The sequence below is a fragment of the Homo sapiens genome, chromosome 3, assembly GCF_000001405.40.
Source record: "Homo sapiens chromosome 3, GRCh38.p14 Primary Assembly".
Classification (NCBI taxonomy): Eukaryota; Metazoa; Chordata; class Mammalia; order Primates; family Hominidae; genus Homo; species Homo sapiens.
This window is the reverse complement of record NC_000003.12, coordinates 19,525,376-19,544,225: the sequence shown is the minus strand read 5'-3', so window position 1 is coordinate 19,544,225 and position 18,850 is coordinate 19,525,376. Positions and strand designations below refer to the sequence as shown.

Here is an 18,850-nt window from a genome sequence, read left to right as displayed (position 1 = left end):
TTTATTATAAATAGTAATTCTGATGATGTTTTTGCATACAAGCACTCATTTTAAAAATACTATTAGGTTAGTGCAAAAGTAATTGAGTTTTTTTTTTACATTAAAAGTAATGTCTTTTAAAACTGCAATTACTTTCACACCAAGTATATCAAGAATGCTATGGTTTGGATATGGCTTGAGTTTGTCCCCCCTAAAACTGATGTTGAAATTGTTGGTTCCCAGTGTGGAGGCATTGGAGGTGGGGCTTAGTGGGAAGTGTTTGGGTCACAGTGGTGGATCCCTCATAAATGGTTTGGTGAGTTCTCACTCAGGCAAGATGAGATTCGGATTCGTTCTCATGGGAATGCCTTAGTTCCTGCAGAGTGGGTTGTTATAAAGCCAGGATGTGCCGGCCCTCAGGTTATGAATCTTTGCTTCTCTGCTTCCCCTCTGACCTTCTCCCATGTTATGAGGCAGCAGGAAAACCTCCACCAGAAACTGAGAGAATGCCACTGCCATGCTTCTTGTATTTTCCCACTTGCAAAATCACAAGATAGACTTATTTTCTTTACAAATTACCCAGCTTCAGATATTCTGTCACAGAAACACTAAACAGATTAACACAGAGAACTTTACTGTTTAAAAAGTAATTTTAATACGTTATTCCATTTACTTCATATCGAATGATCTTATGTAAATAGTATTTCCTTGTGTCAGTGGTCAGAATCTACCCTTCATTGCTCTGCTTGTGATACTACTGCTTGTGATACTGAACTGGATCTTGTAAATATTTCCTCTTTGTCAGTAGAGGGTGCTGGAGAGACACTGCAGAGGAAAGGGCTTTTTTCGTGGGTTCTGTGTCCTGCTTCTTTGATTGGCTCCTGTGGTACAGAGTGACCAGTGGTGTGTTGAACACCAGAGCCATTTCTCACACCAACCTTGGTCCACTTGAACCTCTGGGTGGATTTGCTGTTTGCCCAGCATGCATTTCCCTCTGGCCTCAGTCCAGTGACAATGGACCACTTCTTATCCAGGCAACCCAGCAAACCTCTTATTGGGCTATGTCTACCCCTTTTTCAGAAAGTCTGTATCCTAGCCTTGGAAACTTTCCAAATTTATTCCTTCCTTGGGTACCCTTTCTCCACCACAGGATGTTCTTTCATCTTTTCTTAGAAACCTATGTTCCATAATAATAATTATTTATTTTAAGCACTTCCTGTTCAAGTTACTGTGTGGTTTCTGTCTTTTGACTGGACCTGATACATACATACCTCATGTAGCAGATGCTTTTTGTGCTCTTCTCATACACACTCACGGTTCCAGGCTCTGCCTAAGACATTTTACTGCAAATTCCTGGGACTCTCTGCTAATGTTTTGTCTTTATATTTGCATAAGGACAGGCCAGATGTATGGTTAACATCTCTGGGTGCAGCCTTTAGCCATTGGGACAGATGGGACTTGGAGGATGAATAATCCAGCTTCTTCTTTGTTAGGTTGTGCAACTCATAAGTCATGTTCTGTAATGTCGTCTGGAGCTCCTTAGAGTGATTGAACCTCAGTTGCTCACAATGGTTACCTGCTCAATAATACATCACTTTCTAGCTTCCTTTTTTCAGTCTCATCTTGCCATTCCCTAATCAGTGTTTCCTGAATTTGTCCTCCAAATAAACTATTTCACCAAAATTTTTATATCAGGATATGCTTCTAGGAGAAGTCATATGGAAATATTCCAGTCTCAGAGAAAAGGGAATGAAGAGTCTGAGAATTTGTTTTGTTCAAAGCCAGATAGTTAAGCAGTGAAGTAAAGAACTCAGTTTATCTCAGCCCAAGTCTCACTCTTTATATTTACTTCAGAAAGTGTCTTTATAAAGACAGTGTTAACTACGTGTTAGATAAATGCAGACCTATTATTGTAGTCTAAATACATAAACCCTAGAGTATAGGTGTTGTACATATAACTCTGTAAAGTATTGCCCCATCAGCCACCTAGGCAGCAGCATTAAGATATAGAAACAGTTTCTAATAACAGAAAACTTTCTTTTTTCATTATTTCATATACGATATTTTATTGTCAGTAGGTACCACCTCTCCACAGTCAGATAGTAGATTATCAGTTGTTTTTTATAAATGTGGTTAAAACAGCACAGTGCTGCTCTTATGGCTTATATATGGAGCTGGTTTTGTGTTGCAGTATAAAGCTCTGATTTCTGAACACAACAACCATGTTTAAGCAAAATGAGGAAAAACATTAGGTAGTTTTTCCATGGGACACATTGTCTGTAGTCTTGAGGGAGGAACTTCTGTCTCAGCTCATGGTTCACAAGACCTACAATTGTGATCTGCTCTTGTAACCAACAATTATTCTTTTCCCAAGCTCAGACTCATGAAACTGAGATATGCCAATGATATCTGAGGAATAAAATCCTTCACAATGATATCTCTAAGCTAAACTAGAAATGATAGAATAGACGGCATTTTGGGGAGCCTATTCTAATCAGAAAGTGATATGTCCATCAACTAGTATGGTTTTAAAACATAGAGGAGTATTTGAAGTGGAAAGAAGATGATGAGTCTCCAGGAGGAAGGTTGATATTGATACACATCTTGTTATACACCTATACATAACTATATGCACATTCCTTCTTGCTTAAACCCTACTTCAGCCAATGCTGGGTCCTTTGTCGACTAGACTAGAGCAGTAGTTCTCGAACTTTAGCTGGTATCAGAAGCACCACAGGTTGCTGGGCCCTACCCCCAGAGTTTCTGATTCTGTATGTGTGCTACCCACACAAACTAAATCAAACTCTTTGTGGTTAGAGCCAGGAATCTGTTTTTTAAAAGCAACATAGGTAATTCTAATGGGTAGCCAGAGTCAAGAACCAGTGTTTGGGTATTTCTTTTTTTCTTTTTCTTTTCTTTTTTCTTTCTTTCTTTCTTTTTTTTTTCAGACAGAGTCTTGCCCTGTCTCCAGGCTGGAGTGCAGTGGCGTGATCTCTGCTCACTGCAATCTCTGCCTCCTGGGTTTAAGCGATTCTCCTGACTCAGCCTCCCAAGTAGCTGGGACTACAGGCGCCCGCCACCATGCGTGGTTAATTTTTGTATTTTTAGTAGAGACGGGGTTTCAGCATGTTAGCCAGGATGGTCTCCATCTCTTGACCTCGTGATACACCCACCTCAGCCTCCCAAAGTGCTGGGATTACAGGTGTGAGCCACCGCACCCGGCCTTGTTCAGGTATTTCTAAGCCTTTAACATGTGCACAAATTACCTGAGAATCTTGTCAAAATGTAGATTCTGATTCACTGCTCTGAGATGGGGGTCCAGGATTTTGCATTTTTAACAAGCTTCCAGATGAAGCTGCTGCTGTTGTCCCGCAAACCACACCCTGCGAACCAAGTGTGAGAAATGTTGTCTTCTTTACCCCTTTTCTGTAGACGTGGTTTTTGTGTAAGTTAACAAGAGATATGCTAAGTGATCTAGGCCCAGGGCTCAAATACCTTTGGGGTACTGGAAGCCAGAGTTGACAATTAGATTTGGTTCCACAGGTTGTCTGATTATAGCAGGAGGAACTCTTATGACTCATTTTGGTCAATAAGTTATCATGGCAACTTTCGGAAATCTGTGTTTCCATCTGAGGGCTTCTGGACATCACTGCCAATCATAGCAAGGGGCCCCAAAGATGCTGAGTGTTGGCCATGTGGCTGCAGCTACCCAGAGGGCTCTGTGTTCCCCAAAAGATGTGGCTGAGTTTGAGCCCCTTCCTTATTAGCATTTAATACTGACCCCCATGCAGAGTTCAGAAATAATTCTCTCTCAGGACAAATAAACCATAGTGAAGAATAAAGCTACAGGAGTAGCATAAAGTTCAGAGTCAGCACTGGTTAAAAAAAATTACCATGGCAAGTAAAAGTGCCAAAGCAAAAGGGTACTCTTTACCCTGGAGGAAATTCTTAAATGAAAGTGGTCCCTTCAACTTAGTATATTAGTTCTTTACAAAAATAAAAAGCACAGACACACTTTTAAGTCTCACTTCCTCTTATTTTATTCTTTGTTGTACTCAAATATATCACATATGTATGTTCTATTTTTATCAAGCCAACTGTGAAAAAAAACCCAGAAGCTTAGCTTCAGCGTCAAATTCCATCCCATTTCCAGCTTCTTATCTCCATAAAGGAAAAACCCAAGTTAAAAGGAAATAGCTTAAGAAGGCATAGTTTTGCCCTTTGGACACATTTTCCCACCAGCTGTTTTTTTTCTGGAATGAACAGCTTATTTAATTACCTGCAATGACAGGTATGTAAGTGCTGGTCTATCTCTGCCTCACTGTGCTGTCCTCATGTCTTTTATACTGTTTATTCAGGGCTTGGTGAATGACACAACTCAAGGAATAGGTTCTTTCAGGACACAAGCTGCAGGGAGTAACATTTAGCTTATTCCCTCTGATGAGACCTACTCACACGGTGGGCTACTAAGGGAAGCTTTGAAGGCATCTGTGTGAAGTGGCAGACATTTCATAAGCTCTGCTTCTAGCCAGAGGAACTGTGGGTAAGAGGGCAACAACATTTGCCACAGAGAAAGCTCTGAGGCTTCTGGCTGATAGTGCTCAGGTCTTCTGTGGCCAGGGATGGTGGTTGTGACATATATGTGTGTGATTTCTAAAGCAACAGCAAATCTCTATAGAAAAACTTTATGGGGAAAAATGGTATGTGTTTGTAGAATATATTTGTGTTAGTGAATAAACTTCCTGTATCTTTCTGTAATTAAAGAGTTCAAAATAAAACTTCACTGAAATTCAGATAGACATATTAGAAGCCACACGGGTTGGGGATAAGGTGGCTGGGGGCAGAAACAGCATGTTTTTCTGCCCTGGTGGCTCTTCAACAACTTTTTTTAAAAAGGTAAATGTTGACTTGATTGTTAACACTGTGATGAATAGACTGTAGGGGACATATTATGAAAGCTACTTTGTGACCTAAGCAGAGAAAATGTCAAAGAGAGGACTCATTTTCCAGAAGGTGGCCTGGAACACTGAGTGAGAGGGAAAAGGAGGAAGCATGAGGAAGGGCCAAGGGGAGAGGAGGGAGCGGGAAAGAGAGAATGGAGAGGATGTAAGTGGGAGGAGGCTGGAGATAAAGGGAGAGCCAGGAAGAAGTTGGGGAAGAGGAGAGGGGGGGCAAGGAAAGGTGAAAAAATCAGGAAGGAGAGGTAAGAAGGAGATGAGGGGAGGAGGGGGAAATAGGAAAGGAACCAGGGGATGAAAGGTCAGGAAGATAAACTGACATTTGTTTAGCGTTTATTGTACGTCGGGTAGTGTGCCTTCACAAAAATTACTTCATTAATTCTCACGAAGACTCTGAAAATTGGATATATTTTATTCTTCAAGTTTTAGATGAAGGAATTGAGGCTCAGATGTCTTAAATAACTTGTCCATATCACAGAGCAAGAAAAAAATGGTTGGAGGCAAACACTCCTTTGTGTTCTTCCAAAACTTCTGCTCCTTTCTCAGCTTAATATTTATTTGGACCATTTGCCTTTCTATAAAGTGAAATAAATAGGCAAAGGAAAGCCTTTTGGAAGAGCCCTTAATAGAGCCTATGCCTGCACTTGTACCCAAGCTCTATTTTCGGTGATGATGGTATCTAAGAGAAGACTACATTTGAAGTACTATATACTTAAAAAAGAAGACATAAAAGCAATGTCTTAAAAAGATGACCTTAGAAAATGAGCTATATATGCCATGAGAATAAGTAGCTTTAGCAAGAACTATTTGGTGCAGGCTGTTTTCATTGTTATGAATAAAATCACAATCTTAACATTAGCAATTCCATTTCACATAGGGGACATCCACAGCAACTGTCATCTGCTGACCAAATAGTTATCTTGCCTCACATACAAATATGATTCCTATCAGATAACTGACCAATTTTTGAAACTTCAGAAGGTATTTTCACTTTTCTTTTTTCTTCTAGAAAATCTAAATGAAACAAGAAAACAAAGATCTATAACAAATCAAGAGGTATAAGTGGTGTAAGACACATAGTAGACAATCATTTTTCATTGAAGTAATTGATGGGTGTTCAAAGCTCTCTTGGAGAAAAGATATCAGTTACTTTGATAAAAAAAGGTCATTGATGTATTTGGAACTGTACAGAAAGAAACTTGTCAGTTTTAATTGGTTTGATTCTAGTTGGTCCATCTTCCCACAGAACCAGCTCATTATAAAACGAAAGGTTGTACTTCTTAGGACAATGTTTTCAGAGTTTATTTCTTGGAACATACATATTAGAATCACTTGGGGACCTAGCTCATGTCTAAGGAGCTGGAGCCCTGAAATCTCTCTTTTAATAAGATCTCCCAGAAGTACATTATTTGAACTAAAGTTGGAGGACTACTGATTTAGGAGTTAATCAGCCTTCTTTATTATACAATTACAGACTCTGGGCTGTCCTTAATAGAATTTCAGTGGTTGTCTACTTACATACAGATTAGCTAGGACTCAGACTTGTACTTCTATAGATTCTAGACCAATACTTCTCAGCCTTTAGTGTATTTGAGTCACCCAGGAAGTTTACCAAATGGTAGATTTTCAGGTCCCATTCAAAGCAGCTGGCTTGAAGCTAGATTATCTGCGTTTCAAATATATACCCCATGTGGTTGTGATGTAGGCATTCTGCTAACTTCAGATCCAATGCACAGCCCTTCTGGAAAAACTATTCCTGTCAAATACTCACACAGCCTCTGAGAGGACACTTTGTCTATTGGGGATAAACAATAAACTCCATTTGTAAGTAGCTGGAATTATTAGGAATTTCTTCTTATATTGAATTAACATGAAGTTTTGCATAATCTGTCTGGTTTTAATTAGAATTGCATAGAAAATATTTATTCTCAATATAATTTTAAAGAAAATTACCTTGACCAAGAAAATAACTGCTTTTGTTGCCTCTGGGTTCCTGGGGCTTTCCTTCAGCAGAGGGTGAGTAGGTGAAGAAAATGTAGGGGCTCAAAAATGCATCCCTGATAAGAAGACAAGGGCCTTTGCTATTTGTGTAGCTACAGTGCTTAGACAATTAAACATCTAGGAAAACTTGAAATTCTCACTTTCTAGAATATTATTAGCACATACTTAAATAAAATAGAACTAAACTGTATCATCCTGAGCTGCCCTGGATATGGGAGAGTCCTATTTGTCAGAGTAGATGGGGGAAAGGTTCGATAAGGAATAAAATGGGATTGATTTGGATGAGGTGGAGGTCCTCATGGAAGAAATGCATGGGAGCCCTCCCTCCTTCCAGGTGCTTGCTCACTTTTGTCCAGCTGCAGCTCCATGCAGGTCAGGGAGCTTGTTCTCATGCCTGTTAAAGTCAGATGTTGAGTAAATACAGAGAAGGGGACTGGGTAGAAAATACGGGCTTGTTTCCAGCCAATTCGCGGGAACATCCCCAAATCCCAAGAACTTAGCTAATTCATCCTATTTGTTTACTTGCATTGCAAAAATAACTCAGTTTATTCACTGATTTTGAAAAAAGTTGTAGTTGACCCTTCAACAACATGGGTTTGAAACTGCACGATCCACTCATATGCAGATTTTCTTCAGCTTCTGCCACCCCTGAGACAGCAAGACTCCTCCTCTTCCTCCTTCTCTTCAGCCTATTCAATGTGAAGACTATAACAATGAACACCTTTATGATGATCCACTTCCAGTTAATGAATAGTAAATGTATTTTCTCTTCATGATTTTCTTAATACAATTTTCTTTTCTCTAGCTTTTTTTATTGTGAGAATACAGTATATAATACATATAATATATAAAATATATGTAAATCAACTGTTTATGTTATCAGTAAGGCTTCCAGTCAACAATAGGCTATTAGAAGTTAAATTTTTGGAGAGTCAAAAGTTACATATGAATATTTAATTGTGTGTGGGGCCAGCCCCCTTGCCCCTCATTGTTCAGTGGTCAATTGTAATTATTAGTAAAGAAGTTCCAAAGATCAACAAGCATGCGTGTGAACATGAAGGGAGGGGTACTTAGAGCAGCCATGGGTCTATCAATCATTTAAAATAATGTGACTGGGGAAGTTAAAAAAAATCTGTGTCTCAATTAGTTATTCACTTGTAAAATAGGGATAATAATAACAAATAACTCAAGTAACTGTTAGCACTGTTTGATTAATACATAAGGAAGTATAATGTATATTAATTCCTAAAAATTGGCTGGTACAAAGTCAGTACTCAAGAAACAGAATGCCAGTTATTCTTGTTAGCATTAGTAATAGCAGTGTAATTTGCCAGAAGGACACTTGTGAGCCAACACCAGTTAGCTCTTTTTGAACTGCATTTAAAATGATTACATAGGTCAAGAAGAGCAAAAGGGAGAATGCAAATGAATACATGAAATCTAGAATGTTGCCTTTGTCTCAGTTTTCCCTTTAACTTAGGGAGAGACCGAATTTTGGAGAGGGGGAAAGTAGAAGGCATTGAGTTCTGAGTGACCTGCCTTATAAACATGTCCTGTGTTTGTTTTTCTTAGAAAAAATATCTTTTCTCTCTGCTGCTCTAGCCAGTTTTAAGGTGCAAGATTCATACAACATCAGAAGTCTTGGTGTGTTTAGATACTTTTAATGATACAATTCTCAGATTATTTTTTGTGGTGGAAAATAAAGAGAACTCCAGAATGTGAACCCAATATATCTTCCCAAAATGTCCAAGACAATTAGACTGTAACTGTTCTAAAACATAAAATAAGACTTTAGTGAAGGTGCTTAAATCATTGCCAATCCCAGCATCTGAATTTGCCTGTTAGTGTGAGATGTAGGGAGCATTATGGATTCTAGACTGTGTCAGCATCCTAACTGTGTAATCTCTGAGGCTTCCCCTGAGATTTATTAAAAATAGGAATGGAAACAACTGCGCTGTATAGCATTGTTGGGAGCCTTAAAGAAAAAAGGTAAAGTGCTGACCCATTGCAAGCTGGTATTACTCCCACAAGTTATAGCTCAGAAGTCTTGGCTCCATTTGGGGATTTCCACTAGTCTACTACCTCTTGTAAAAGAAAAGCACTGGGAAAGGACACACCCAGGTTTTCTCCCTCACTTTGAGCCCCAAATTGCCCTATGTCCACAGACCCATTTTGGATTCTTGAGCAACAAAATACGATACCTAGAGGAGAGACATTTCTGCTGGCACAACGACCTTAAATCATGTCATTGACATGAGTTGGCAGAGCCTAGATGGAGCCTCTCTATCCCCATGCCAAAGCTCATGTAGTTGACACTCAGTCCATGTTTTTATTTCATTAACAAAATATGACTTCACTTTTCTTTTATAATCCAGAAGCATGAGAATACATTTGTTGCAAACTGCATGCAGAAAAAATGGGGGATTCCTTTGGAAACTACATCCTCTTAGTAATAAATAATTTTTGATCTACTATACACAACAGTAGTGCATTTCTTGTTAAAACAGCAAGCTTTTTTTTTACCAAAATGAAAAGAAAACATTCATTTCTTTATAAATATTTAAATAGTTTAAATACATATTTCATACCAAGGATATAAAAATAGCCTCTGTGTTTTTTTGATAAATAAAGACGTTTTCATTTACATGGCAAATAACGTGCGAATAGCTAACCACTGGCCACCAGCTCTATTTGACTGATTGTCTAGGAGATGACATGCAGTGATAATTGTCCCTTTGCCTTCACAAAAAGAAAAATACATCAGCAGGAGCTGTGCACTCCTGAGGCCAACAGTGCTATGGATATTGTTCAGGAATAACAATCAGGCACTCATGAAAAACCTTTGCCATACTTCACAAAAGCCACATGGGACAAAAGTCATCCACAAGTTCTTTGTCTAGGACTTCTAGCTGCTCAGACCCTCAGGGTCTTTGGATTGTTACCAAAGTCTGTCAAACAGACCAGTAGTTTAATACCTGTACAGAAAAATGTTTCTATTATGCTTCTAGTATCTAGAAATTGTTTGCTACAGCATGGAGGTGGTTCTGCCTTTCCCTGGCTCCTCACACTCTTTTCTGCAGGATTCCCAGCTTTGCTCAGTCTTCATGCCCACCAGAGGCAAAAAGGCAAACTAAAACTGTCATGCAGTGGTAGGTTTGAAATTAGCTGCTGCATCATGGGCACTAATATCATACATTTATGGCTTTGTTATCTTTCACTTCTGCTGTGCTTGTGACAACTTCCAGTGGAAGGTTCTCCAAAGGTTTTGTAGAAGCTGATGCCATTCCTTCCTGGTTCCAAGATCCTGGTAAGTTTTCCAGACTGAAGGAACTCACAGTTCCCTGACTGAAGCTGCCCTCCTCTGATCTGCTTGGGAGAACTAGGTGCAAAGATGTTTCCGAAGAGGAGCAGACAGAAGATGAGAGAGTTGCTGAAATGGACTGCAGAGGCGTCAACGTAGAATCTGAATGTGGAGAGATGCACCTTAAAAATTGCAAATGACCTTCTTGGACAACCTGGTAGTGGGAAGGTGAATAATCAAGGCTTGGAGAATGATAAAGTTCACTGTCTGCAGGATTTTGCTCATGAGCTCCAGTTCGTTGGGGGCTGCTCCCCACAGAGGAGGGATCCACACTCCAAATGTCTGAGGTGATATTACTGCTACAAAGTTGTGCTTGGGTATAAGCAGCCCCGCCTGTTTGCAAGTGTAGGCAAGGCTGGTGTGCACTCCAGCTCGTTCTGGTCTGTAAGCTCTCCCTGGAGGGACACACAGAGGTGCTGTGCAAAGAGCAAAACCGTGATGGCTGCTGAGGTGACAGAACGTTTTCCAGAAGCTGGATCACATTTCTCATGTCTTTACCCAACTGAGAAACTTCCTGAGTCAATGTTGTTACCTATGTGGATAGAGCAAAGTGAAAGACAATAGTTAGAGGTGCATAGTAGTGACCACATTTCAGAGAAATGAAGCAGGGAAGTGATATTTCTTTCGGTTTTCTTTTATTCCTACTTATTTATTCTTAAACATTTTAGCATTTGCTTGGTGAAAAAGAAATTTTTTTTTTCTTTTTCCTTTTTTTTTTTTTTTGAGACGGAGTCTCACACTGTTGCCCAGGCTGGAGTGCAGTGGCACGATCTCAGCTCACTGCAAGCTCCACCTCCCAGGTTCACGCCATGCTCCTGCCTCAGCCTACCGAGTAGCTGGGACTACAGGCGCCCACCACAACGTGCAGCTAATTTTTTGTATTTTTAGTAGAGACGGGGTTTCATCATGTTAGCCAGGATGGTCTCAATCTCCTGACCTCGTGATCCGCCCTCCTCGGCCTCCCAAAGTGCTGGGATTTCAGGCGTGAGCCATGAAAAAGAAATTTCTTAATAAGAAAGCCTGAAAGGCTGCTCCAACTCCAACCAAGCCCAAGGGGTGAATGGGTAGGTTAAGCATTTGAATGAACATACATCCTGATCTAAAGACATCCTCATTCTGAAAGAGCCTAGAGGGGCATAAGTAGTCTGGGAATCTTAATTAGTGATTTGGGATTCTTAAACAGAATGAGAGATACAGATCCATCATCTCTAAAGTACTGATGATATATTTCGCTTCCCCTGGATGAATGGGATGCATGATAGTGCACAAAAATCACTGGACACTTCAAAACAATGTGGAGTGGCAGATACTGCATGTAAAGCACTCAGCACACTAAGCACTACTACCTATTTGGAGTAGACACCTAGTGAATGGTAGGTCTCACTCTTGCCATTTCTGGTTGAAGCCTATGCTTATTATAGGCCAGAGACAAAGTGGCCTTCAGTAACGGTGAGGATGCTACAAAATAACTCATACCAGATTTGCTACAGAGAAAGTTTGCAGAAAAAGGGAAAGCTATGGAATGAGAGTTGGAAAGAAAGAAAAAGACCTGCAAGGTGCGTAAGTAGAGATAAGCACTGCAGGGCTTCTGAGAGTCCTGGAACGCATCAGTGAACCTGAAACCCCATGGAATTATAAAACAACAAATTGTGTTGTAGGTACTTTATTCAGTTTTCTAGGTGAGACATTTAGCTGTCATGGCCCAAACACTTAAGAACCATTGAAGAGTCTTCATTTTATACTTAAAATACATAATAACATTCATTAGAGAATTTATTTTCGTAACGACCACATCAGCATTTTAATCATGGAATACCACCAGAAAATTGAATTTCACTTAAACGTAGCTTTTCTAAAAGATTTGTATTCTTCAAATTGAGGAAAACATATTTCAGAAAGCAGGACACACACATGTATTTTCTAGTCTTTGGTTAGATTCATAATACTAACATAATGTAATGTTTTGCCTTCATTGCTATAATACTTTGTATTTTTATAAAGGACTTTCTATGACTTTATTTTACTATCGTGAACCACAAAATGCTAATAGAAGCAGCTGAACCTATGGGCTAAATATAATCAGGAAACAAAAAGAGGTAGTTCAACTTCATTGAACTGAAGATTCATTCAAGACTGCTGTTTTGGGCAGACATTCTTCAACATTTAAGTACATATTCCTAATTCATCCAGCAACTTAATTCAGTCTACTTACTGTGAGTGCATTCTGAAACTAATTCTCCCTGGCAGGTCCATCGGGAGGTGACACTGCTCAAAGTCAGGCATTTAAAAAGGCCAGAAGGAGGTTTTTCCATGGTTTGGGCAACCAACTGGTAACACCTGCCTTGAAATTGCCAGGCCAAAACTATTTCTGCCCTACTGCTGGCATGAAACTCAAGGGATTCAACTGAATACTTGTCCAGGCTTTTCAGCAGATCTAAAACTTCTGAAGACAACAACATCTCTCAGCCTCACATTTAAGAACTGAAACAATGAATATGAGAAAAATTCAATATGCTTTGAAATCTTCACTATGGGTTGTCAATTTCATTACCTGCCAAGCTTCAATTCTAAAGCACATGAATCACACTTAAATCATTACCCCAGGATCTTTGCACTACCTACATTCACAAGGGTTCCATCTTAAAGTGATTAATTCTTGTGTCATAATTTCAGAAGACAAGGCTGCCACTAAATGAGATGGTTAAAGAGGCACATTAGCCATCCGTTCATATAGGTTGTCCAAGCTAAATTCCTGTATGAAACTCACTAGGGCTACATTAGTTCATTTCCCAATAAAAATGCTTTGAATTGACCTTTTATTGAGAATTAAATAAAGGCACAGTCTCTGAAGAATAAGTTTGAATTTTAGGCACATCAGCAATTATGTTATTCAATAAATGTTTGTATGTTTGTAAATTTATACAATGTGCTTTCAGGTACACTTTCCCTATTGGATCTACAAACAATGCTGAGAAAGGCAGGGATGTACTATCATTTCTCAACTTGTAAAATGGGAGCAATAAGACTCAGAGGTGAAAGGACATTTTTAAGGTCACTTATTTCATGAATGACAGTCTTCAGTCTAGAATTTAGGACTTCTAAGTTTGGTATTCATTCTGCTATAGAATATTATCATGTAGAAAAAGAAATATTGCTTAAGAAAGCATTGAGAGATTTTTCCTAATGTAGTCAGAACGTAAAGAGCACAATGACACAGAAAGGTAGCCTCATGAGTAAAAAGCTGGGTGAAATGTTAATTCAACATTAAGTAAATAGCGTCATCTCTAAAAATGTAGGAGACTGATTAAACACAGTAAAATATCTTCATAGCAAACTATATGAATGCAAAAATAGTTTGCCTCAGGGTAAGAACTGGAAACAGATATGTTAATAGACATATTTCTGATGAACTATTTTTCTAGTTTTCAAAATAAACAGATATTTTTCCATGATTGAAATACCTTTGCATAGACACATTCTTTTTTTACTGATATATAATAATTATACATATTTATAGGATGCATGTGATATTTTATATATGAATACAGTGTATAATGATCAAATCAGGATAATTAGTATAACCACTATCTCAAACATTTATCATTTACTTGTGTTGGGAATATTTCAGATCTTCTAGATATTTTGAAAGATACAGTAAGTGATTGTTAATTATATCACCTTACTATGCTGTCAAACAGTGGCACTTACTCCTTTAATCTAACTGTACTTCTGTGCCCATTAACCAACCTGTCTTCATCCTAACCTCTCCCTTCCCAGCCTCTGGTAATCATCATTCTACTCTCTACCTCCATGAGATACATTTTTCTAGCTCCCACATATGAGTGAGGACGTGGAATATTTGTCTTTCTGTGCCTGGCTTACCATGCATTTGCCACAACTTTGAGACCGTGAACTTAGAATGGGAATCCAGAGTCTTGACAGGATCCAGGAACATAAACAAGCACTGACATTTTCAGAAAACAAATTACTATCCTAGCTTGAACTAAAAGGAGCAAGTAACTCAAGGAAACAGAGGTTTCTTTAACTCTAGAGGGAAATAATCAATTTATGTTAGGGAAGATTCCTGTCACTGTGTCTCTGGGGATACACCCCTGAACCTTATTAAAGTTGCATGAGGGAATTAATTGTGTTAAGTAAGGGATCTCTCTTTTTACCATGGCAAAGCCAGCTGTCACAAGGAGAGATGGCATTTCCTAGAAGTAGAGACTGTGGTGATAGTAAAGGTGACAACATACTGCCACAGAAAATGCCATCAAGTTTTACTGCATTTTTGTTTACTGCTTCCTGCTGTGCTTGCTATCAAAATTTATTCTAAAACAGGAAGGACCTCAGTCTTCATCAAATGTTGAAGGCAAAGAATGCAGTGTTTCCACTATCTAAGGGTGGTGGCTCAAGTGCTTCTTCATAGCATGGTAAGAAGACATGCATTTGCTAAAAAAGGATTGTTGGGGCTACTTCGTGAACAAAGCTCTGTCCACTCAAGAAGACATGTGTACATATGTAACAAACCTGCACGTTGTGCACATGTACTCTAGAACTTAAAAGTATAATTAAAAGAAAAAAGAAGATACATCTTCAAAATACAACTTAACTGCAAAGAGATACGTCAATTAAAACAAACAAAATCGTTCTGATCAAATGAGCCAAAGTTTTCCCACTTACCTCAACAGCAGCATAAAATATTTAAATGTTTCTGACACTCATATTAGAAAATACAATCTTTTTGAGCAGGTAATACAAAGCCCTTCACAAACCCTACTTTATTTTTTAATGGCTCCATGTCCTGCATTTTCTCCCTTGCACACCATCAGATACAGTGAGCTTTACCCTTCACTGCCCTGGTGCATGCTATTCCTTCTGACTGCGGGCTCTTCTCCTCTGCCCTTCTCTGTCTGGCAAGAAAATCTTCTCCTTCAAACTTCTTTTAATACTTAATTTTCTCAGCAGAGCCTTTCCTTGGCTTATTGACACTCACATAGCAGTTTTAACCCTGACCACTTTGCATCACATGAGACTGTACCAACTAGTCGTTGAGTTCCTTGAGGGTAGAAACTGTTATCTCAGTATCTCCTGGTCTCAAGGCAATGCCTAGAATACAACATGCACTCAGCAAATCTTCAATGTAAAAATAAATACAATACCTCCATTTTGAAGGACTTTTGGTTGTTATATTGCCTTTGATTCTGATATTATTTTATATCATGATTTTACCATAAATATTTTAGGGGAAAGTTGCCTGATACAAAATTGTATTGGAAAAGCTGTAACTGGCCATCTTCATTCCAAGTATATATACTAAAAGTAGGTATGACTGTTAGAATTCACATATACAACTTTCCTAAACCAAAGCCTTGACTATCCCTTCATTTTAAGTGCAGGTGGTATTTCTACTGTTAAGAATCCCTTTTCCCTTATTGTGTTTCCTTCATAATTGTAGAAATATGTCTCCGTTGGCCAAGGTTTCTGCTGGATTTCACTTGTCTTATTGCTTTGTCATCTGTCCCAGCATAAACTTGATTTCCATGGGTAGTTTTAATTCTCTGGGAAATTTCCCCCAATGACTGATTCCTAGATCTCATAACTACATTATGAATGCCAAGTGATGAATTCAATTAAGTTATTAAGAGTTGTTTATCAACTGAAATTTGGCTAACATTTTGCATCCCTGATTGCTTCTCTGGATAGCTATTTCTTCAGATTCTATTTATAAAGACAGTGCATAAAGGAAACATAACAATATACATTCTTATTTGTTTATTAATATACATTTTCTTTATCCACTTTCCCCTCTTCCTCTTTTTTTCTTCTTCCCCCTTCTCCTTCTTATTCTTCCATGGATAAGAATCCATCAGCCTGGAATTTAAAACTGTTGGCCAAACCAGTTTATCATCACCATCTGCATAACCAATTGTTCACATCCAAGATTTCTCTATCTCTTCCAGAATCCCAACTGTTAAAAAAAAGAAGTGATGAAAACACCATCTGTGCTTCCAAGTGGTACAGTTTTGTATCCAAAAACTTTGAAGCACCTAAAGATTCTTCCCTTGTCTATTCTCCCAGCATCATGCATTAACCACACAAATCATTAGATGTTTTGCAGGCAACGCATTTGCTCTTGTTAAACAACATCCCCTGTCATGAATAAAAACCTATGTGACAACTGACTTGCCAACTGGCCATGATAATCCACACACTGATCCTTCCATACCCCTAAGAAGGGAATCACTGACTACCACAGCTTTTCTATTTCTGCTGTATCCAGGTTTCCTCAGAACTTCTGTTGGTTTAGAAATAGTTATTGTTGCCCTACATTTCCGGAGTATCTGGTTTACTCCTCTCATGTTTAATCAGCTTTATTGGTGTAATGCTACTTCTCACCCTCCTCTGTGTCATATTTCCATAAGGGCCTTGTTGTGAGGATTAAATAATATAACAGATATAAAACTTTAGTCCCCATGTAACTGGTATCTTGTCAGAATTCCAGGTGGCTCAATTTGATAGTGGATTTGTGACACAGGCACTAAGCTTGGTAGAGAACTTCTGCAAGGCAGGGAATCCTAATCCAGAAAGTATTTAGCTTAAAGAAAATAGAAACTACCGTTATCTCTATAACTATTCTTCTGCCTTAGCATGGAGAGATAAGCCATTCCCAGTAACAATTTTACTTAACTAATATCAGAAGAAAAAGTCTCGAATTTTTAGTATTGCTTTGCCTGGATCTTCGCAGTAGCAAGTAGAAACAGCAATAATTGATGCCATTGGAAAATGTAGATTAAGGTCCTGTATTTCAAGTCCAAAGTTTGAGCAGCTGCATTCAGATGGATTAAAAATTCTCTATAAAGGATGTGTGAGCCAAAATGTAGGGATGTGCAGCCTGGTTTTGATCAGAATTGAATAAGGACCAATGTGGAGCTGGGGGGCAGGTAGGGCAGCTACTACATGTATTTATTGCTCTTTACAGTAGTCAAGCTCCTGTAAAAATCCTGCCACATAATAGAACTCTACAAATCTTTGTTGATTCATTCAATGAATAGTGAATTGCATGGTGAATTTCTTATGACTTTTTGTTATTTTCAATTGAACTTAAGTAACTCACTTTCATCAATTGCCCCTAAATATCACTGAAAGATAAAGAAGTGTCAGTATATCTCTAGCAGGTAAGAATGTTTCATATAATATCCACGTCTCATGGAAGTCCCCAGCACTTCAAAATGGGAGCTTTCAAAACATTGTGTTACTAAATGGCTTAAATAATCTATCTGCGATACTGGTGACCTATTATTCCAATAACACCATGCGTTGTCAGTGTCCACAGTTAGATTGTGTGTTTTTTGGTGTAAACACAGATTTACTGTTCTGGTGTGTGGTTAGATTGTGCCTTTTGGGAACAGAAGTATGAGTTTCTAATGCAGACCAGAGAAAAATTATCTTTGACAATACCTTTCATTTCACATAAAATGACATATAGTATCATATAAAATAGCTTTACTTCATTTTACATACGTTTTATATTTCTCCATCTTGGCTATTGGCATGATTGGTGTAAAATTCTTGTGCTTTGAGTATAACTGGAACTTCCGTTGATAGGCAGAGAAAAAATGTGGTTTCCATTTTTGTGCATTCAGTGAGCAGATGGGGAATGCATCTGTTGACATAATCTTCTTAGCTTGAAGAGTTCTTGACCTGTCACTCAATTTTTGCCAAACATGTACACATTTTCCTGCTAGACACAATTTTCCTAAGGGGTACTAATTATACCAATCCTCCCCTGCCCCACTACTAATACATATACATTTTTACAAGCTATGATTCGGTAAATTAAATGGTTTTTCATTTAATCCTTTGTTATGTTGCATATTTATCATAAGATTCAGACATGTTCAAACAAACTCCATAAGCAGGCAAAACAAAAAAGACGATTGGCATAATTTCATTCTTGTGTCTTTTGCTTTACAAAGCATTCAGAACAAGTGATAGTCTTTTTATCTGTCAGCTAAAATAATAATCATACTCAGCACTTGCATACATTTCATCCATATGAGGACCTCAATCCCATTACTAATAAAAGTTGTAAATCTTTGTCTACAGCTGGAGAGACTAGAATGTTGGAAGGTAAAATGGCTTGTTCTAGGTCACACAGGACTACTAACCAGGGTTTTACTTTTGCAGGTGCAGCCGACGTCTCTTAAATTATAATTAGGGAAGAATTACAAGTCTAGCATTACCAATACAAAATGACCAATTATAGTCTTGAAAGTGATTCAATAGCTTCGTTGAGTTTCTGCAAGCTCAGGCCTTTGGACATTACTTCAGCTGTACCATGGTAATCTATTATTTATCAACCCTTTGACTGCTTTTGTCATCTGTTTTCCTGGTTTCTGTGACAAAGTTTGATTAGTATTCAAATTGCTGTCTGGCTAAGGGATCTTTACTGCTATCAGTAAACATCAAATGAAAGTTTGTCTGCTCTCAGAATACTGGTTGTATAGAACAGTGCTTGTCAAACTTTAATGTGTATAGGAATCATCTG

General features: G+C 38.4%; 1 protein-coding gene across 5 annotated transcripts in view, besides 3 other annotated features; it reads right to left on the bottom strand.

Moving 5' to 3' along the window:
• Positions 1,321-1,410: an enhancer, noted in NCBI's record as "active region_19576". NCBI's record gives its function as "activates an Ori minimal core promoter by ATAC-STARR-seq in GM12878 lymphoblastoid cells {active_cell/tissue: GM12878}" and the evidence as "EXISTENCE:reporter gene assay evidence [ECO:0000049][PMID:35858748]".
• Positions 2,630-2,799: a silencer, noted in NCBI's record as "silent region_14131". NCBI's record gives its function as "represses an Ori minimal core promoter by ATAC-STARR-seq in GM12878 lymphoblastoid cells {active_cell/tissue: GM12878}" and the evidence as "EXISTENCE:reporter gene assay evidence [ECO:0000049][PMID:35858748]".
• Positions 3,413-3,522: an enhancer, noted in NCBI's record as "active region_19575". NCBI's record gives its function as "activates an Ori minimal core promoter by ATAC-STARR-seq in GM12878 lymphoblastoid cells {active_cell/tissue: GM12878}" and the evidence as "EXISTENCE:reporter gene assay evidence [ECO:0000049][PMID:35858748]".
• KCNH8 (potassium voltage-gated channel subfamily H member 8) overlaps positions 8,584-18,850 on the bottom strand; it is a 387,133-nt gene continuing 376,866 nt past the window's right edge. For all 5 annotated transcript variants that reach the window (XM_017005698.3, NM_144633.3, XM_017005700.3 and 2 more), the window contains one exon: positions 8,584-10,831. In XM_017005698.3, coding sequence (XP_016861187.1) covers positions 10,127-10,831 — 705 coding nt within the window. In that variant the 3' untranslated portion in view covers positions 8,584-10,126. The remainder of the gene's footprint in view (positions 10,832-18,850) is intronic.